The sequence below is a fragment of the Homo sapiens genome, chromosome 18 (assembly GCF_000001405.40).
Source record: "Homo sapiens chromosome 18, GRCh38.p14 Primary Assembly".
Lineage (NCBI taxonomy): Eukaryota > Metazoa > Chordata > Mammalia > Primates > Hominidae > Homo > Homo sapiens.
In genome coordinates, this window is record NC_000018.10 from 2661153 (window position 1) to 2683574 (window position 22422).

Sequence of the window (22422 nt, forward strand, 5' to 3'; positions counted from 1 at the left end):
GAACATCACACACAGGGACCTGTTGTAGGGTAAGAGGCAAGGAGAGGGAGAGAATTAGGACAAATACCTAATGCATGTGGGGCTTAAATCCTAGATGACAGGTTGATAGGTGTGGCAAACCACCATGGCACATGTATATCTATGTAACAAACCTGCATGTTCTGCACATGTATCCAGGAACTTAAAAAAAAAAAAAGATAGTTTGTGTGTCTTAATTGAATAATAGTAGATTTATAGATTAAAAATCTATGGGTTTTTAATATGGATTAGAAATCTGTGGGTTTTTAATATGGATTAGAAATCTGTGGGTTTTTAATATGGATTAGAAATCTGTGGGTTTTTAATATGGATTAAAAAACATCTGTGGGTTTTTAATATGGATTAAACATCTGTGGGTTTTTAATATGGATTAAACATCTGGGTTTTTAATATGGATTAAACATCTGTGGGTTTTTAATATGGGTTAAAAATCAAAAGAAAATGAACTATTTGCTCCAGTGCAGGAAAATACAGGCAATACTGGATACAATTAGATGGTCAGGAGCGATAACCCGGTTGCCATTGTTTGAAGAAGAGAATAAGGTGCTAGCATTCCTATCCGTAGATAATTTGACAGCTAGGAAATAGGGGGAGTCTTCTATGTAGTTAGTGAAGGCTAAATGAACTATTATATGCAGTTATCGTAGAAGAGTACTCAAAAAAATCTGTAAAAAATAAAGAAAGGCCGGGCGCGGTGGCTCACGCCTGTAATCCCAGCACTTTGGGAGGCCGAGGCGGGTGGATCATGAGGTCAGGAGATCGAGACCATCCTGGCTAACAAGGTGAAACCCCCGTCTCTACTAAAAAAATACAAAAAATTAGCCGGGCGCGGTGGCAGGCGCCTGTAGTCCCAGCTACTCGGGAGGCTGAGGCAGGAGAATGGCGTGAACCCGGGAAGCGGAGCTTGCAGTGAGCCGAGATTGCGCCACTGCAGTCCGCAGTCCGGCCTGGGCGACAGAGCGAGACTCCGTCTCAAAAAAAAAAAAATAAAATAAATAAATAAATAAATAAAGAAAGAAAGAAAGAAAGAAAGAAAAAATAATAGACTTATGTGGGATTATATGGAATAATTAGATATGTTTAGGTGAACATAGATCTTAAAAAAATCATTTGCACATAGTTTTTCAGTAACTACAGGATGCATAATTACATGATTTAACAAGTGGGACATTGGCCAGGCCTGGTGGCTCACGCCTCTAATCCCAGCACTTTGGGAGGCCAAGGCAGGGAGATCATCTGAGGTCAGGAGTTTGAGACCAGCTGGCCAACGTGGTGAAACTCTGTCTCTACTAAAAATGCAAAAATTAGCCAGGTGTGGTGGCACACGCCTGTAGTCCCAGCTGCTTGGGAGGCAGAGGCAGGAGAATGGTGTGAACCCGGGCGGCGGAGCTTGCAGTGAGCTGAGATCGTGCCATTGCACTCCAGCCTGCACAACAGAGCAAGACTCCATCTCAACAACAATAACAACAAAAAACCAAAAAAAAAAAAAAAAAAAAAAAGGGACATCATAGAAATAAAAAAGTAGTAATGAATTAAAAAATACACGACTGTCATGGTTATATGAAACCTAATAAAAATCTATAAGGTCATTTTTGTCTCTGTTAAACAAATAGAATCTTCCCAGTCAGTTTATGTTCATGGCTTTATTTCTCTAGGGTGGAATTGCATGGAATATGAGTATCTTTTAAGTTTACTAAAGTATGCCAAATTAATTACTTTCTTTATGTTTGACTTTTTTTCAGTCATATCAGCAGTGTGTAAGGTACCTATTTCTCTGTACAGAGGCCTACACTTGATGGGCTCAGAATTTAACATTTTTGCCTACCTGATGAGAATAAGTTATATTAATTTCACTGATAACTAGTGATGTTGATCTTTTTATGTTGTCTGGTCTTTTTCTTTATGACTTGTGCTATTTGCATCTTTTGAGACAGAGTCTCACTCAAAAGTCACCCAAGCTAGAGTGCAGTAGTGTGTGATCACGGCTCACTGCAGCCTCGGCTTCCCAGGCTCAGGGGATCGTCCAACCTCAGCCTCTTGAGTGGTTGTGACTACACGTGTGCACCACCATGCCCAGCTATTTTTTTTTTTTCCATTTTTTGTAGAGATGGGGTTTTACCACATTGCCCAGGCTGGTCTTGAACTCCTGAGTTCAAGCAATCCGCCCACCTTGGCCTCCCAGAGTGCTGGGATTACAGCTGTGAACCACTGTGCCTGGCCCACTGTTTGTACCTTTTCAGAAATCCCTTTATGCTCACTCAAAATTATTTCCCTATGTGTTCTTTTACAATTTTGGGCTAATGTACAACTGCTTTAATTCTCCTGGAATTTATTTTTGTCTAAGTTAAGGTGTGGATTTTATCTGTTTCCATGTTGAGATAACTAGTTGTCTTAATATCATTCATTGGATAGTTTATTCTTTCCCCACCAATTTGTAATGTCACCTCTCTTGTTTGCTAGGCTCTGCATCCATATATATGTGGACCTGTCTAAGGGCCCTCTATTCTCTTCCACTGGTCTATTCCAGGAATTTTTTTTTTTAAGACGGAGTCTCGCTCTGTCGCCCAGGCTGGAGTGCAGTGGCGCGATCTCACCTTACTGCCAGCTCCACCTCCCGGGTTCACGCCATTCTCCTGCCTCAGCCTCCCGAGTAGTTGGGACTACAGGCGCCTGCCACCACGCCTGGCTAATTTTTTTGTACTTTTAGTAGAGACGGGGTTTCACCGTGTTAGCCAGGATGGTCTCGATCTCCTGCCCTCGTGATCCACCCTCCTCAGCCTCCCAAAGTGCTGGGATTACAGGTTTGAGCCACCGCGCCCGGCCTATTCCAGGATATTTTAAAGTAGAAATTTTCTTATGAAAACCTTCAGACACAAAGAGAGAATCATGTTATGAACCCCAGTGTACTCATCCAGATTCAAGTTAATAGGAATTTACCACACTAGGATCATTTTTGTTTTTGTAATGTATTTAAGGCATATTCTAGGTCTTAGGTCATTTCACCCCATATACTTCAGCCTGAATATGTATTATCAAACCATTAAAATAAAGCATTTTTAATATTGTCTAATGTCCCTGTCCATATTGAGTTCTCTGAATGTTTAAAAGTATCTTTTTATAGTTGGTTTGTTTAAATCAGGATCTGACATAGTCCTCACATTAAATTTGTTTTTTTTTTGTTTCCTAATTATTTTCAATTTAAAGCATTTGAGCAAATTCCTCCTCCACCAGTCTCTTTAGTTTTCCTGCAGTTGACCTCTTGAAGAAATCAACTAGGTCTTTAATATTCCACATTATGGATTTGTTTGTGCTCTTTTTTGGTGTTACTTAATTTGTTTTATCTCCGTATGTATTCTGTAAACTAAAAGTTAGCTTTAAAGGCTTGATTTGATTTAGGTTCAACTTCTTTGGGGTCAGGAGGCAAAGAATGCTTTGTAGGTAGTACTGATACTTCATATGGCATTACACTGGGAGGCACGTGATGTGTGGGTGTTTCACCCACTCATAGCAATGCTAACATTAAAATCTTGGGATTCACGTGATTTCAGCAGGATTCCTCCATAAGGAAGTTTTGATCTGACTTGCCATTCCTCCTGTGTTTATTAGCTGGAATTCTTTAAGGAACAACTTTGCCTCATCAGCCAGAGCTATTTTGGTTATCCTGAAGTACCATTGATACAAGAAAAGCAGTGTAAATAATTTGTTCTTTCCCTTTAATTTGTCAGTGTTCAGAGTGACAAGTTGGTGCCCTAGCTCATCCCAGTGGTGAGCAATAATGGTTTTTATTAATATCATTTTTGAAGATTTGAGTATCACTAGTCTAGATTTTTTAGATGTTTTCAATAAGAATGTTAATCTTTAGACTAGTCCATTACTACCCGAAACAGAAGCCTTTTCTCTTAACTATATATTGCTGTATTGTTTCATTTTAGACAGAGCATGTATGTTTTAATTCTAATGTAAATGAAAATGTTAACCACTTTTCTAATTCTCATTTTTTGATTAATGTGATTTTACAGTTCATGTGTTCATTGGTCATTTGTATTTTCTCCTTTTCATTTTTTTGTGTTTTTACTTTTTCTCTTTGTTGATCCTTGTCACCCTTTTGTTTCTTGTTGCAATTTCCCTCTAATTTTTTTTTTTCTTTGAGACGGAGTCTCATTCTGTTGCTCAGGCTGGAGTGCAGTGGTGTGATCTTGGCTCACTGCAACCTCCGCCTCCCCAGTTCAAGTGATTCTCCTGCCTTGGCCTCCTGAGTAGCTGGGATTACAGGTGTGCGCCACCACACCTGGCTAATTTTTGTATTTTTAGTAGAGACAGGGTTTCACCATGTTGGTCGGGCTGGTCTTGAACTCCTGACCTTGTGATCCGACGGCCTCAGCCTCCCAAAGTGCTGGGATGACAGGCATGAGCTACCATGCCTGGCCAGTTTCCCTCTAATTTATAATTTGCTTTAATTTTTAAAGTTATTCGTTTGAATGGACCTGTATGTCTTACAAAGCATGGCTGTTCTTCCCTCCGTGCTATAAAATGCTAACTTCTGTTTTCTTCTATTTTGTTTTTGCATACTTAAATATCTAGTCTATATGAACATGAGTTATGTTAAAGCTTTGTTCCAAATAAGTTGATAACTTGTACGTTAGTATGAAATACTATGTCTTTTGTCTGGGTGGGTCCTGCTGATGATGTTAAAATGCTTTTAAAACGTTCCACCTAATCACTAGTGTTCCTAGGTTGCTTATAGTAGCAGAAAAAATGACCTTGTTAAGTAAGTAATTTATATAGATTTATGCACTATTAATTATGCAAAGGCAAAATTTAGATATACTGAGTTTTGTATTTCCTAGATAAGTGTAGTGGTTACAGAATTATAATGTACTATCAATATTTTCATATTTTTATAAATTTGAATAATACATTTATTTCCTTTGTGTAATAAGTGATTTTATTTCTTATTTTGGATAGACACTTGGCATTTCACCTGAAGAAAAATTTGTTATTACAACAACAAGTAGGAAAGAAATTACCTGTGATAATTTTGGTAGGTAAACAGTGTTACTAAGTTGATGCTTTTATATTTAATAAGGTTTAGTACATATATAGCAATAACTTTTATTAGATATGCATCTAAATCTGTTGATGACTTTTGTTAATTTGTTGGGATGAGGGAGGAAACTGGCTGCATGTGCATAGTCTGCACAGAGGTTATATTTTTCAAGCTTGATTATAGAAAAATAGTTGATATCAGTTATGGCTACAGAAGATGATTCTGCCTAGCACAAATCTTCTGAAGCTAATTTTGCTAACCAACTTGGATTATTCCATTATCTTTTTTTAACCTAATTAGTTTTCCAAGACCTGCTGGTTTTTCATGCCTGATTCCATCTGAATTTAACCATTCTCCATTCATGTTGACACTACGCTATTTTAGATTCTCGTCTGATTTCCTGTGATAGTTTAACTTATTAAGAATTGAGTGTTTCAAATGAATGGAAGGAAGTATTTGTGCTTGTTTCATTAATATCCTTAACATGACTTTGCTTACAGGTAGATGATTGGGGGTTTTTCTTTACCATCATTAAAGATATTTCATAGATAGAATTTGTATATTCACAATTATAAGTTCATTGAGTTTCTGATGCTGACCTAGCACTTATGATTTTCACTCTTGATTACAGATGAAACTGTTAAAGATGGAGTCACCTTATACCTGCTACAGTCGGTCAATCAGTTACTACTGACAGCTACGAAAGAACGAATTGACTTCTTACCTCACTATGACACACTGGTTAAAAGTGGCATGTATGAATATTATGCCAGTGAAGGACAAAATCCTTTGCGTAAGTATCCCATTCATACTAATTTTGATAAATTATTACCTGCCTTTATCCCCTGATTACGTATCCCATTCCTTCACTTTTTGTAAATCTTCTTATTACACTTTATTAGAAGACCACTCATTTTCTTTCTTACTCAAATTCATCACGGTATTATTATGTCTTCTACCTGTGTCATCTTCAGTGAAAAAAAACTCTCCTTTAAAGCTAACCTACTAGTAGAACTTTTCTTTTCAACTCATAAGGGGTCTTGACCTATACAGCTTTCCATCGCCTGTATACTCTCTTCTCCTGATTTCCTAGCCTCCCATAGACCTTTCCCAATTAAGAAAATACTTGTTTTACTTTGCAAATACATATAGCTAGGTTGCGTAAGTAAGAAGTTTGTGTTCATATTTCCATGTCTTTATCATTTCTTTCTACCTTTACTACTTGCTAGTTTCTGTCCTTTCTCTGGACCATTTGCTAGTGATCTTTACAAATCAATTAGTTTACTGAATCCTCTCTTTCAGGACTTGCCAAAGTGTCTAATACTACTTACATGTTCATCGTAAACTTTTGTATTAAAATTATTTTTTTCTCATTATATGTGTATTTGCAGGAAATTAGAAAACATAGATAAGCAAATAGAACATAAAGAATATCTCTACTACCCAGACATAACCACCACTAACACTTTGGTGTTTATCATTTCAGACCTTTTCATATTATTTGATTTTTAATGGTTTTATATGGTGCATACTTCTTTAACCTACATTTTGTTTAAAAATAAAGTGAACATCTTTTAATATATATGTCTCTGTATATTTTGATAATATTTAGGTAATATAATTTATTTGAACAGTATTCTTTTTCTTTTTTTGTTTTTTGAGACAGAGTCTCTCTCTGTCACCCTGGCTGGAGTGCAGTGGTGTGATCTTGGCTCACTGCAACCTCTGCCTCCTAAGTTCAAGTGATTCTCCTGCCTCTGCCTCCCGAGTAGTTGGGATTACAGGCAGGCACCACCACGCCTGGCTAATTTTTGTATTTTTAGTAGAGACGGAGTTTCACCATGTTGACCAGGCTGGTCTTGAACTCCTGACCTCAAGTGATCCTCCCGCCTCGGCCTCCCAAAGTGCTGGGATTACAGGTATAAGCCACCATGCCCGGTCTGAACAGTGTTCTTCTATTAGACATTTAGGTTGTTTTTAATTGTGTTATGGTTACAAATGACTCTGAATGTTCTTGTGACTAAATCTGTGTGTGCTTTCTTAATGTAACACTACCACTGCTGTCATTACTATTGGCTACAGTGCCAGGCATTGTACCAAGTACTTATGAGCGTTGTCTCATTTACTCCTTAATCCTGTGTGGTAGCTAATGTTAGGAAATAATATAGGTAAAGATCCTGTTTTGCAGAATTAACTGGGGCTAAGAGATTTTAGGTGACTTGCTACACTACTAGTGAGTAGTGGAGCCAGCATTTAAACTTTAGGAGAGTGACTTCAGAGCTTGAATATATAACTAGTATATTTATTACCTCTCATGTTGTTCTTTTTGTACAAAAAAGCTCTTCTCCCATCTTAAAAACACTAAAGTCTTACTTCCTTCACTGGCTACTGCCTAAAATTTTTTGATCCTGTTTATAGCAAAACTCCTCCAGAGAGTTGAATGCATTCGCTATTAGCAGTCCTTCTCTTCCTCCCATTGTTTCTTACTCTGACCAGACGTTTTCGCCTACCACTCTACTGTACCCACGCTCTTATGGTCACCAACAGCTAAATCCAGTGATAAATTTTTAATTTTCAGTTCTAATTTTTCTTGACGTGTTACTTGACATTGTTTTGTCACTTCTTCCTTTTTGATATACTTTTTTCACTTGACTTTCGAGGGTCCATATTCTTGATTTTTTTCCTTTTTGCAGTAACGTGACCATAGCACACTGTAGCCTCGAACTCCTAAGCTTAAACAATCCCCCTGCCTCAGTCTCCTGAATGACTAGGACTACAAGTGCATACCACCATGCCCAGCTAATTAAAAAAAAAAAAAAAATTGTAGCTGGATGCAGTAGCTCATACCTGTAATCCCAGCACTTTGAGAGTCTGAGGCAGGAAGATCACTTGAGACCAGGACTTTAGGACCGGCCTGGGGGACATGATATGACCCCATCTTTACAAAAAAATACAGGAATTATTTGGACATTTTGGTGCATGCCTTGTTTAGCTACTTGGGAGGCAGAGGCAGGGGGATTGCTTGAGTGAGCCAAGGAATTCGAGGCTATAGTGAGCTATGACTGCACCCCTGCACTTCAGTCTGGGCAACAGAGTGAGCCTCTCTCTCTAAAAAATAAAAATAAAAATAAAATTTTCTTTGTAGAGATGGAGTCTCACTATGTTGCCCAGGCTGGTCTTGAATTGCTGGCCTCAAATTATTCTCCTGCCTTGGTCTCTCAAAGCCGTGGGATTATAAGCACCTTGATTTTCTTCTTACCTCACTGCCTGCCCTTTCTTCTCTCCCCACCTTATTAATATTGAAGTGCCTTAGGGCTTAGTTCTTGCCCTTTATGTTGTATCTTACTTCCTCACTTGGTGATCAGGTCCTATCTCATGGTTCTAAATAACATCATTACAGAAGTGACTCTCACAAGGAAGAGGTAGGAAATGGTCATTTTTAGTTAAATATTGAAAATGGTGCCGGGTTTATCTCTTGAAGTCCAGTTTTATCCATCCAGCTGCCCATGTGGCATCTCCTCTAGGATGTCTAAAATGGGAACCCTCATCTGCTCACTGAATTTTATACCACACATAGTTCCCCCTATCTGAATTGATTATTACTGTGTCCTTCCTGCTGCACAGGCCAAAAATCAAATTGATACTTGTATTTCTCATACCTCTCATACCTCTTAATCTGACAGAAAATCCTTTGGGTCCTATTCTCAATGTTTTATCTTAAAATGACCATTTCTCACCATTTCTATTGCTACCACCTGGTCTGGAGGCACCATTGTATCACCCAGATTACACTAACTAGTAGTTACTGGTACCTGTCTTTTCATCCCTGTCCATAAAAGGTTTGAGAAATTGGATTGTGTCACTCGCTGCTGAAAACACCCATGGCTCCCCATTTCACTAAGAGTAAACACCAAAGTCGTTACAGTTGCCTGCAGGGACTTACTAGCTCTGCTTTGTACTTCTCTGACTTTGTTTCTACTACCTTTCTTACTTTTTCACTCCCCTTCACTGCCATCCATATTCTCAGCTTAGGGCCCTCTGCTTGGAATGCTTTTCCTCCAGTTAGCCCTGCACTCATTTCTTCACTTCCTCCAAGTCTTGGTTATCTGTTGTGTTCTCAACAAAACTTAGTCTATTTAATTGCAACTGTATTCCTTCTGTGTCTTTACTGTTACTTGATTTCATTTCTCTGCTGTTTCTTTTTTCTCTATTGCACAAACCATCTTCTAACATGCTATAGAATTTATTTATTATGATTATATTTTCTTTCCCATATTCCTCCATTAGAATGTTAAATCCCTAAGAACAGAACCTTCATCTGCTTTATTCAGTTCCTAGAACAATGCCTGGCACATAGGTGCTTAAATATTTTAAAATTGAGTGAATCTGGCTGGGCTCACGCCTGTAATCCCAGCACTTTGGGAAGCCCCGGCGGGCAGATTACTTGAGGTCAGGAGTTCGAGACCATCCTGGCCAACATGGTGAAACCCCGTCTCTACTAAAAGTACAAAAATTGGCCAGGCGTGGAGGTGGGTGCCTGTAATTCCAACTACTCGAGAGGCTGAGGCAGGAGAATCGCTTGAACCTGGGAGGCGGAGCTTGTAGTGAGCTGAGATCATGCCACTGCCACTCCAGCCTGGGCACCAGAGGGAGACTGCATCTAAAAAAAAAAAAAAAGAAAATTGAGTGAATCTTTTAATTCTTTTTTTTTTTTTTTGAGATGGAGTTTGGCTTGTTGCCCAGGCTGGAGTGCAATGGCGTGATCTCGGCTCACCGCAACCTCCGCCTCCTGGGTTCAAGCAATTCCCCTGCCTCAGCCTCCCAAGTAGCTGGGATTACAGGCGTGCACCACCACACCTGGCTAATTTTGTATTTTTAGTAGAGATGGGGTTTCTCCATGTTGGTCAGGCTGGTCTCAAACCCCTGACTTCAGGCGATCTGCCCGTCTCGACCTCCCAAAGTGCTGGGATTACAGGCGTGAGCCACTGCACCTGGCCCATGAATCTTTAATTATTTTCCTGGGGATAAATTGCTAAGTGTATAATTATAGAGTCAACAGAAGTATTTTAAACTCTTAATGTAGTTTATGTTTCATATTGATCAGTTTTCATCATGCCATCATTATGAAATGATATGAAAACCCTATCAGTTGAAACCATATCAGTTGAAAACCGTATCAGTTTTCATTCATACCATCATTATATGGATAAGCAGAAAACCCCAGTGTTTAAAATCTTGCCTTGATTTCTGTGACTTTACAGTACATTCCCGGGTCTTTCCCTACTTCTGTTTCCCTACTTCTGGTTCTTTTTGACTCTGGTGGACATTTCTTCAAGTTATGTTGATCTTTTCTTTTCTTTTTTTTTTTTTTTTTTGAGACAGAGTCTCGCTCTGTCGCCCAGGCTGGAGTGCAGTGGCACTATTTCGGCTCACTGCAAGCTCCGCCTCCCGGGTTCACGCCATTCTCCTGCCTCAGTCTCCTGAGTAGCTGGGACTGCAGGCGCCCACCAGCACGCCTGGCGAATTTTTTTGTATTTTTTTAGTAGAGACGGGGTTTCACTGTGTTAGCCAGGATGGTCTTGATCTTCTGACCTGAAGATCCGCCCGCCTTGGCCTCCCAAAGTGCTGGGATTACAGGCGTGAGCCACCGCGCCTGGCCTTGATCTTTTCTTTTTATACTTTCAGTAAACTGATCCAAGCCTTAACTGTTGTACCTGTGTGATGAAGCAAATTTCTTTTTCCCCTCTTCTTTTTCATCTAATCAGATTCTAAATTCTACTCATTTCTTCCTTCCAAATTTCTCTTTAGGTTTCTTTTCCTGCCATTTCCTACAGTGTCCCTTCTTCATTTTCTGGAGTTATTACCTTAGCCAGATTACCCTTGTACATAATCTGATTTGTGGTAACTTCTTTGCAATTCGTTTATAAACATAGCTGTCCTTGGAGTGTTTAGGGTGAGTAGAAGTGCTTGCTGGAGTGCTACTTTGGTTTTTTTGTTTTTGTTTTTGAGATAGAGTCTCGCTCTGTTGCCCAGGCTGGAGTGCAGTGGTGCAATCTTGGCTCACTGCAACCTCTGCCTCCCAGGTTCAAGCGATTCTCCTGCCTCAGCCTCCCGAGTAGCTGGGATTATAGGCACCAGCTACCACGCCCAGCTATTTTTTTGTATTTTTAATAGAGATAGGGTTTCACTGTGTTGGCCAGGCTGGTCTCAAACTCCTGACCTCATGTCATCAGCCTGCCTCGGCCTCCCAAAGTGTTGAGATTACAGGCGTGAGCCCACATCCAGCGTGAAATGCTACTTTGCATTAATTACAGCTTTTGTGGGGTTAAGCTTCTGCAGAATTAAGATACGTAAATTTGATATGTTCCCTTTCTTTTTACTAAAGGGATAAAAGCAGGAAATAGTGTGAATAGTGACCTTGAAGAAAGGAGAATATTAGTTAATGTTGAGCCAGTGATAAATTGAATGTCACGTTGGTGGTGTGGTAGTGAATCTATAGCAGTTCTGTGTCAGTTGAACAGATGTATTCTGCCACTTGAAAAATTTGTTAGTCATAAGAATTCTATATCCAAATTAGCTTTCAAGAGACACTTATCTTGCAGATGAGCAGTATAGGAAATTTAAAAAAAAGACACTTATTATCACTTCATATTTGCCCTCGTATTTCTAGATGTGCTTACTTTGGACTTGTGCTTGATGTAATTACATACTGCAGACTATTTGATTTTATGGTTATGGTCTTCTGTTTGTCTCTTAATGTCTGTATGTCTGTCTTTAGATTATAAACTCCTTGAAGCCAGGAATCATGGCTGGCTGACTCATGCTGTATAGTGCCATACAAGTACTGATTGATGACTGCTTTTTTGATGCTGGTGGTGATTGGTGATGATGCCTTTATTATGTATTATATCATTAGGATCAGGATAATACTTTAATTCTAGCTCTTTGGCTTTAAGGTACTTGATAGTTTCTTCTTCTTTGAACTTTTATATAAAGTATGTGGGAGGGAAAAGTTAAGCAATGTTTTCTTGATCTCTTGCAGCATTTGCTCTTGCGGAATTAATTGACAATTCATTGTCTGCTACTTCTCGTAACATTGGGGTTAGAAGAATACAGATCAAATTGGTAAGGAAATAATACTGTAAAGCAATTTAACTTTTCCTTTTGTAAGAGTAATAAAAGTTTATTGGAGAAAATGAGAAAATAGAGATAAAACTAAAAGTAGAAATAATTGTCAGATATCTCTTCATCCATTGTTAAAATTTTTTCACGTTTTTTTCCTATGCATATATGTATACATGTATATGTACCTTTGGTTTTTTGTAATCTTCTACTTTCCCTTAACAGTACATTGTTAACATGTGTCATATCATGAATGTTCTGCAATATAATCTGTTGTTGCAGTGACTTATTGGCTATAATATAAATTGTGTAGTTTGTGTTCTGTTGTTGAACATTTAGATTTTTTTTCTGTATTTTTGCCACTGGAAGGAATGCTGGAATGATGAACATTCTTGCACACCTTGGTACATGTCTCTGAATATTTCCTTAAGTTGAATTGTGAGAAATGGAATTTCTAGGCTAAAGGACATGAAGAATTCTGAGGCTTTTGATACATACTGCTGCTGAAGTGCCTTTCAGAAAATTGTATTAATTTGCACTTCCATCAGTAATGTATAAGTGAGCCTGTTGAATCATTTTTTTCATGTTTAACTTTTCATGTTTTAAGTATTGATTTGACTTTTCCTGTCTTTTTGAACTTATTTTGTTTCATAGCTTTTTGATGAAACACAAGGAAAACCTGCTGTTGCAGTGATAGATAATGGAAGAGGAATGACCTCTAAACAGCTTAACAACTGGGCCGTGTATAGGTTGTCAAAATTCACAAGGCAAGGTGACTTTGAAAGGTTAGAAAACCTTACTTTTTTTTTTTTGTGGGTAGCTATGTATTTTAGTAAGGATAAAAAACTGGTATGCCTTTGGATGCATATGATACATTGGAGGTTTTACTGTTATTCACATATTTATTTAGGTTTTATATTATAGAATTTTTATGATTGATACTCAGAAATAGAACTATGTAATATTGTGCCTTTCCATTAAACAGCTCATTTTGCATTTCCTGAGGTATGTAGGAGTTGATATGTTGGGTACCTGAGAGCTTTTCCCCTTTCCTAACTCTGTATAGCCTCTGTAGCAGTAGAATCATTTTAAAATGGGCTTTAGAAATCGCTTCATACCATTTGCAAAATGTCTAAAATTGCATGTGGTTCTGTGGAGCTCACTGTTGCTCTACTTTCAGAGCTCTTTTTGCAAAACATTCAGGAGTGGAATCTAGTGGAGTTATATATCAGAATGTGCTTGTAGAAAATATCCTGAATGAGGATGTCACAGGGAAAACAAAATGTGCTAAAAGCCATCAGACATAAAAAAGATTTAGATTCTTGAGATATTAGTGGAACTCTAGTAAGAAGAGCTTTGACCCACAAGTCTTTTGATATTTTAAGCTATGTTGCTCTACTTCTAACAACATACTTGGGAAGAGTCTCTTGTCATTCTTACTAAATAGTTGGTGTCTGTTCATAACCTGCTTTGTTCTTTACCTTGTCAAGAAAAGTCACCCACGTTTAAGGATCAATCTCAGTGTGTTAATATAGCTAAAACATTGGTCTTCTAAAATTTCAGCACCCTCAGAATTTTAATCAAATTAGTAAAGACTTAACAGTGCCATTTAAGAGACAAGGTAGTATGAAAAACACAGACTCTTGTATCATTTGAACCTGGTTTGGATTCTAGCCTTGCCACTTACTAATCGTGTGACATTGGTCAACTTACTTTACTTCTCTGTGCCTCAGCTTACATAGCCATAAAATGGGGATAATATCCCATGAGGTTTTATGACAACTAAGTGAGTTAGTACATGTAAAATCCTTAGGACAGAGCCTCGCATATGGTAAACAGTCAATAAATATAAGCTATAGAAGCTGTCATTTTAGTTATTACTTCTCATTCCTGACCTCAGCCTTTTTTTTTTTTTTTTTTTGGAGACAGAGTCTCGCTCTGTCATCCAGGCTGAAGTGCAGTTGTGCAATCTCGGCTCACTGCAACCTCTGCCTCCCAGGTTCAAACGATTCTTCTGCCTCAGCCTCCCGAGTAGCTGCGACTACAGGCACCCACCACCATGCCTGGCTATTTTTTGTATGTTTAGTAGAGATGGGGTTTCACCATGTTGGCCAGTCTGGTCTCGAACTCCTGACCTGGTGATCCGCCCTCCTCAGCCTCCCATAGTGCTAGGATTACAGGCGTGAGCCACTGCACCTGGCCTAGATTTCTCCACAACCATTCTATTTCACCATTTTCATAAATATGTGGCATTTAAAGGATTTATAAAAAGCCAGGGAGAAGGCAAAGACCACTGTCTTTGATAGTGTGAGGATAGGATTTAGCATATCACAGAAGTATTAGGTGGAAGGGAAGGTAGAACAGATGGTAGATTAGGCAAAATGGTCAGAAAAACATCAGTTATATCAACTGGAAGAGTAGAAAGAAATGCAAATCTTAACTGAATTCATGGGACATTGACTCTGATTTCTCTCTAGTTCTTAGAACAAAACAAACTTTTAAACTTAACCAAATATTAGGGAAATTGTAATTTCTGGCAAAAATCTTTTTGCTGCTGGTTTTAGTCTTAGCTTTATGGGTTTGGTGTCAGTAAACAATCAGTTGTTATTATAGCTGTTAGGTACTCGTACTGTCTTTTAAGTCCATTATCAGTTCCTTGACCCACTCTAATTTCTATCAATATCAGATACACCCCTTCAGCCTCTAGCTTCTGCTCAGTTGCTTTACTCCTTCCATTTGTTTTTTTCTGGATACAAGGATGGATGTCATAGAAGACAGGCTGTAGAAGAAAGGCAAGAACAGGCTAAAAGTACTAAACAACTAACAGTCTTGACCTGTAGCTTATGTTGTATTGGAGAGAGAAACAGAAGTAAATACAAAAAATTACATGTAAAAGCATTTCAGTTATTATTACTATGAATAAAATGTAAGAGTAATGTTGAAGGAATGGATTGCTAGAAAAAAAATGTAGAATAATAGAGCTGATGCACATCTCCTCTAGATAAGGTGGTTGGAGAAGAGGGCCTCTTTGAGATTATATTTGAGTTGAGGCTTGAATGATCAGAAGAAAGTAGCCAAATAAAGATCTGTGAGAAGTGTGTTTCAGGTAGAAGAAGCACCAGCAAAGCAAAGACTGAAATTGTGACAGTCTCATTTTGTTTGAAGGACAGAAAGGAGACTATTGTGACTGTAGCATAGTAGATAGAGGGGAGAGTAGAGGGAGATGTGAGAATTTCAGTTTGGAAATATTATTTGTAACTCTCATTTACCTGGGTACTACTCCCTCACCCCACCCTTTTTATTTTGAAACGTTTCAAGCCAATAGACAAGATGAAAGAACTAGCACCCATATATCCTTCACCTAGATTTATCAGTTGTTAACATTTTGTCACATTTATGATCTGTCTACACACTTACACACACACACTTTGCTTTTCTGAATCATTTGAAAGTACACTGCTGTCAGTTTGTGAGATTTCACTCCCAAATACTGTAGCATGTGTATTCTGAGGACAAGCGGATTCTCATAAATAACTACAAAATCATTATTACATCTAAGAAATTTATCATTAATGCAACAATATTTAACATAAGATTTTCATAAGTTTTTTTCCTGTTGTCATGTTCGATCTCCTTCATTCTATGATAGTTTCCCTAGCTTTTGTGTTTTTCATAATATTTCAATTTTTCTGTAGTGTTCAGGCTAGTTTTCTTGTAGAATGGTCCACAACCTGGATCTGAGTGTTTCCTCAGCATTGTTTTTTTTCCTTTAGTATTTTATTATGAACATTTAAAAACATACAGAAAAGTTGAAATTCTACAGGGAATACCCATATACTCACACCTAGGTTTTACCGTTGATAGTTGCTTTACTCCTTATATATCTGTCCCACCATTAGTTTATCTGGTTTTTTAATACAGTTCAAAACAAGTTATAAATGTCAGTATACTTTTTCCTAGTTTTGAAAGTATCCGTATTAATTTCTAGGGTTCAATATTTTTAATCTTGAGGTAAAATTCACATATTATACAGTTAATTGCTTGTATCTGTCTTAAATGTATCTTCATTGAATTTATCTTTTATGGAGATAAAATTTACGTATCATAAAATTCACAGTATTAAAGCATACTGTTCAGTAGTTTGAGTTAAAATTGTGCAACCATCACCACTAATTCCAGAATATTTTTACAACTCCAAAAGAAACACTGTACTAAGTGGTTGTCACTTTCTATCTCCTGGCAATCACTAATATCCTTTTAATAGTTTTGTTTTGTTTTGTTTTTTGAGACAAATCTCGCTCTGTCGTTCAGGCTGGAGTGTAGTGGTGCTATCTTGGCTCACTGCAACCTCTGCCTCTTGGGCTCAAGTGATCCTCCCACTTTAGCCTTCCAAGTAGCTGGGACCACAGGTGCATGTCACCACACCTGGCTAATTTTTTATAGAGGTGGAGTCTCACTATGTTGCCCAGGCTGGTCTCCAACTCCTGAGCTGAAGCGATCCACCTGCCTCAGCCTCCCAAAGTGCTGGGATTACAGAAGTGAGCCACCGCATCTGGCCAATAGTTGTTAATCTACATTTTTAGTTGTTTTTCTAGGGATTACAACCAGCATCTTAATTGATAACAATCCAGTCTGGATTAATACCAACGACATACTCTGTAGTATACAAAAACCGCTCCTACTTAGCTTTGTTCTCCTCCCACTTTCGTGTACTATCATTTTCGTATAAATGTGATCGTTATACATTATAGCCCTGTTACTAGAGTTTTATATTTACCATTTTATGCCTTGATCTTTTGAATCAGATAGAAGATTTACAAAGAATGCATTTATACTGTCTTTTCTTTCTTTTCTTTCTTTCTTTTTCTTTCTTTCTTTCTTTCGTTCTTTCTTTCTCTCTCTCTCTCTCTCTCCCTCTCTCTCTTTCTTTCTTTCTTTCTTCCTTTTTTTTTTTTTTGAGACAGAGTCTTTGCTTTGTTGCCCAGGCTGGAGTGCAATGGCACAATCTTGGCTTACTGCAGCCTCCACCTCCTGGGTTCCAGCGATTCTCCTGCCTTAGCCTCCTGGGCTTGGCTTACAGGCACATGCTGGGATTACAGGCACATGCCACTACTCCCGGCTTATTTTTGTATTTTTAGTAGAGACGAGGTTTCACCATGTTGGCCAGGTTGGTCTCGAACTCCTGACCTTAGGTAATCCGCCCACCTCGGCCTCCCAAAGGACTGGGATTACAGGCGTGAGCCCCACCGCGCCTGGCTTGTCTTTTCTAATTATGTAATTACCGCTACCTTATTTTCTGTTTATTTCTTCATGTGTATTTGAGTTATAATACTTTCTAATATCCTGGTATTTTAGCCCAAAGGACTCTCTCTAGTGGCTCCATTAGGGCCGATCTGCCAATAACAAATTCCCTCAGTTTTTATCTGAGAATGTCTAGAATGTCTTAATCTTTCCGTTTTTTGTTTTTTTTTTTTTTTTGTTTGTTTGTTTTTTTGTTTTTTTTTTTGAGAGGGAGTCTTGCTCTGTAGCCCAGGCTGGAGTGTGTAGTGCAATCTCAGCTCGCTGCAACCTCTGCCTCCCTGGTTCAAGCGATTCTTTTGCCTCAGCCTCCCAAGTAGCTGGGATTACAGGCATGCACCACAATGCCCGGCTAATTTTTGTATTTTTAGTAGAGTCGAGGTTTCGCCATATTGGCCAGGCTGGTCTTGAACTCTTGACCTCGTGATCTGCCTGCCTCGGCCTCCCGAAGTGCTGGGATTACAAGTGTGAGCCACCGCACCCGGCCCCTTTCCATTATTTTTGAAGGCTACTTGTGCTGGGTAAAGAACTCTTGGTTGGGCCGGGCGCAGTGGCTCGCACCTGTAATCCCAGCACTTTGGGAGGGCGAGGCAGGCAGATCACAAGATCAGGAGATCAAGACATCCTGGCTAACACAGTGAACCCCATCTCTACTAAAAGTACAAAAATTAGCAGGGCGTGGTGGCGGGCACCCATAGTCCCAGCTACTCGGGAGGTTGAGGCAGGAGAATGGCGTGAACCCGGGATGCGGAGCTTGCAGTGAGCCGAGATGGTGCCACTGCACTCCATCCAGCCTGGGTGACAGAGCGAGACTCCATCTCCAAAAAAAAAAAAAAAAAAAGGAACTCTTGGTTGACAGTCTTTTGTCTTTCAACACTTTGAATATGTTCGTTCACTGCCTTCTGGCTTTATAGTTTCTGTTGACAAATTAGCTGTTAATCTTTTTGAGGATCACTTCTGTGTAACAAATTGCTTCTCTCACTGCTTTTGAGATTCTCTTTTTGTCTCTGGCTTTTGACAGTTTAATGCTGATGTGTCTAGGTGTGGATTTGAGTTCATCCTACTTAGAGTTCATTGAGCTTCTCGGATATATAGAATAAAGTTTTTCTTCAAATTTGGGGAGTTTTTGGCCATTTTTTTCTCTAAGTATTCTTTCTCTCCTTTGCTTCTATGACTCCTCTTATCCATATACTTGATGGTGTTCTATAGTACAGGTCTGTTCTTTTTTCTTCATTTTTCTTTTTGTTCCTCAAACTAAATAATTTCAATCAGCCTACCTTCAAGTTTATGGATTCTTCTGCCAACCCAAATCTGCTCATGAGTCTCTTAAGTGATTTTTTCATTTTGGTTATTGTTTTTTCCAAATCCAGAATTTCTATTCAGTTCTTTTTTATAATTTCTATCCCAACTGATACTCTCTGTTTGGTGAAATACATTTCTTATACTTTCTTTTAGTTCATTAGACATGGTTTCTGTTCTTTGAATATATTTAAAATAGCCGAGCTTCTTCTGCCACAGTCTCTACCAACTGTTCTTTTTCCTGTGTGTGAACCATACTTTAATATCTTTTTGCATGGCTTGTAATTTTTTATTGAGAACTGGTCATATTATAATAATATAATGTAGCAACTCTGGAAATCTGATGCCACCCCCTTCCCCAAGACTTGTTGCATCTGTTGTTTGTTTATGTAATGGCTTCCCTGAACTAATTCTGTTAAGTCTGTATCCTTGTGTTACCCTTGAAGTTTCTGATTAGTTAGCTTTGTGGTCAGCTAGTGATCAAACATTATCTTAAGTGCCTTGAACCACTAAGTCTCCCAGCTTTTGCTGAGGGGCTCTGTGTGCATAGTGGGGTATGTTTTTAGTGCTCTGTTGCAGAGTTTACAACTCTGCCTTACTTTAACTTCTTGCTTGTAGTGAACCTCAAGGTAAGCTAGAGGTGAGTCATTATTAGGACCTTCTCAATTCTTTCTTGAACATGTGTTTAGTTCTGCACGTGGAAATGACCTAATTATTGAGTCTAGTGAATATGTTGAAGCTTTTACAAAACCCTGCAGACCTCGCATTTCCCAGCTTTTCCTTGTATATTTTTGGTCAGATTCTTGTTTTCTCCAACTGTTTTCATTGCCTCAGACAGCTGTTAATGATAAATGTTTGCTGCTGATTGATTTTGACAGTTTTTTCAGGCATTCTCATTACTTTCATCAGTGAGTGGATTCTTGGAAGTCCTTATGCCACCATTCTGGAAGTGTTCACTCGTTTACTGATTTTTGACAAATATATACACTTGTGTATCTCAAACCCTTGTTAAGATATAGGACAATAAGCTAGACTCAGTGGCTCACACCTGTAATGCCAGCACTTTGGGAGGCTGAGGCAGGAAGATTGCTTGAGCCCAGGAATTTGAGACCAGCTTATGCAACATGAGAACCCACCTCTACAAAAAATATTTTAAAAAATTAGCCAGGTGTAGTCCGGGCATGGTGGCTCACGCGTGTAATCCCAGCACTTTGGGAGGCTGAGGTGGGCGGATCACCTGAGGTCAGGAGTTCAAGACCAGCCTGGCCTTCATGGCGAAACGCTGTCTCTACTAAAAATACAAAAATTAGCCAGGTGTGGTGGTGTGTGCTGGTAATCCCAGCTGCTCAGGAGGCTGAGACAGGAGAGTCACTTGAACCTGGGAGGTGGAGGATGCAATGAGCCGAGATTGCGCCGCTGTACTCCAGCCTGGGTGACAGAATGAGACCCCATCTCAAAAAAAAAAAAAAAAAGGAAAATTAGCCAGGTGTTGTGGCTTGCACCTTTAGCCCCAGCTTCTCAGGAGGCTAAGATGAGAGGATCGCTTGAGACTAGGAGGTCGAGGCCGCAGTAATCCATGATCACGCCACTGCACTCCAGCCTGGGCGACTGAGTGAGATCCTATCTCTCAAAAAAAAAAAAAAAAAAAGGATATATAACATTACATAAACCTAGAAAATTCTCTCATAACTTGGGCACTATAAGAATTATTGCTTTAGAATTTAACTTGGATACCTGGGACATAATTATAATAGTATGTGTATAATTATTTTGTAGGGGAGAGGTATGACATTAGTTAGGTCAGCTGGATTCAGGTATGTGTTGGGTCAGCGCTACTCTTTCTGCACTTTCAACTTGCCCATCAATTAAAAGGCTCTCAACTCAGAGCCATTTTGTTGAAATATGAATAAGTAAAAATGCTACATGACCCATGCCGTATGTATTTTAAGCTGTAGAAATGGATCCCCAACAAGATTTTTCCTAATATTCCTAAAGAAAAAGCTGGTTTGTCTTTGTTGGTTTTCAGCAAATTAAGATGAGCTTTTGTTTTCTAATATTTGTGTTTACTTGAATGTTGGGAATACGTTTGTAACATCTAAGCACCCTACTTTAATTTGGTCATTTCCATATGTCTGGCACATTTATTCTAGAGGCTCTGATAGAGATTGGTGGCCAGTTTTGTTAGAGGTGGAGTTTTCTTAAGTTTGGTGTTTTTTTTTTCCTCCTTTGTTAGATTCAAGATAGTGAGACATATACATACGTAGTTACTCTACCCTGGCTTCCTGGCAATCATTTAGATAGTTTCTTTTACTAATTTGATCCTCTTCGCTGATAACTTTTTCTTTTCTTTCTTCTTCTTTTTTTTTTTTTTTCCTTTTTCTTTTTTGAGACAGAGTCCCACCTCTCAGCCCCAGGCTGGAGTGCAGTGGCGTGATTTCAGCTCACTGCAACCCTGCCTCCCAGGTTCAAGCAGTCCTGCCTCAGCCACCCAAGTAGCTGGGATTATAGATGCACACCACCACTCCTGAAAAATTTTGTACTTTTAGTAGAGGTGAGGTTTCACTATGTTGGCCAGGCTAGTCTTGAACTCCTGACCTCAGGTGATACACCCACCTCAGCCTCCCAAAGTGCTGGGATTATGGGCGTGAGCCACCGCGCCCGGCCCCCTGATACTTTTTCTTACTTGAGACACCTCTTATGTTTTGTTTCCATCAAAATTTCCCAAAGATTAAGTGTCCTTTCATTGTATGAAGATTATGAATTAAGATATTTTCTGAAATATTTTTGGACTTTGATGTAAATTTATTCCTGAAGGAGATTAATTTCCTAATTCTCCAGAGGACTGCTGTGGTGTAAAACTGTTCCTTGAACTTGTAGTTTTCTACTTTTATTTATATTCATGAAGGGATATTTATATAGTCCTTGAGTGGATATAGGAATTTTTCTAGACTCATTAACACAAGTCTGAGACTGTCTTGAAATAAATATTCTCAGCCTTACTTGCTGTGATAGAGTTGTTGCCTAGATTTGGTTTGCATGGGTCATTTAAGTTGAAAAAGGGATTTATGATTTTGTGCATTTCTAACTAGTGGAGAGAATTCTTTAGTTTTGCATGACCTGATGTATGTATGTTGTGTTTTATCAGTGAGCTTCTCCTTTCTCTAAACTTTTGTATATTTTCCCAGAAATATTTTAAGGAAAATATCAGAGAGTATTTTCAACTTATTTCCTAGAAGTATTGCCATAGTAACTGAATACTTAGAACTCATTTACTTTTTTTTTTCTTAATAAACATTAGCTCATAGACTTTGGTTAATCATAATTCTAGGAAATAAGTTGCAGCATCTCACAAGTTTTGTTACACTGTATTTTCTGTTTCATTCAGTTTAGTCTACTTTTTTCCTTTGCAACTTGGTATTTAACCTGTGGATTGTTTTAAAAGTGTGTGAATTTATAAGTGTTCCAACATATTTTCCTATTGTCTTTCTATTGATTTCAAGTGTAATTTCGTGATAGCTAGAGAATGTACTCTTAAGTGATTTCAGCTGTTTTACATTTGTTGCGTTTTATGATCCAGGATGTTATCTATCTAGATGAATTTTCTATGTGTCTTTGAA

The 22422-nt window shown here is 38.6% G+C and overlaps 1 protein-coding gene across 10 annotated transcripts in view, besides 1 other annotated feature; it reads left to right on the plus strand.

Annotated features, from left to right (window-relative positions):
• The window catches only part of SMCHD1 (structural maintenance of chromosomes flexible hinge domain containing 1), a 149292-nt gene that overhangs the window by 5427 nt on the left and 121443 nt on the right, over window positions 1-22422 (plus strand). For 8 of the 10 annotated variants that reach the window (XR_001753172.2, XR_935055.3, XR_007066135.1 and 5 more), the window contains exons 2-5: window positions 5005-5080; window positions 5718-5879; window positions 12129-12211; window positions 12863-12993. Coding sequence is in view for 7 of the 10 variants with exons in the window: in XM_011525642.2 (XP_011523944.1) it covers window positions 5005-5080; window positions 5718-5879; window positions 12129-12211; window positions 12863-12993 (452 nt within the window). In the remaining 3 variants the exon portion in view is untranslated. Of the gene's footprint in view, window positions 1-5004; window positions 5081-5717; window positions 5880-11864; window positions 12043-12128; window positions 12212-12862; window positions 12994-22422 lie in introns of those variants that run through there. The other 2 variants (XM_047437425.1, XM_047437427.1) reach the window with 2 other exon arrangements.
• Window positions 1916-1965: an enhancer, noted in NCBI's record as "active region_13027". NCBI's record gives its function as "activates an Ori minimal core promoter by ATAC-STARR-seq in GM12878 lymphoblastoid cells {active_cell/tissue: GM12878}" and the evidence as "EXISTENCE:reporter gene assay evidence [ECO:0000049][PMID:35858748]".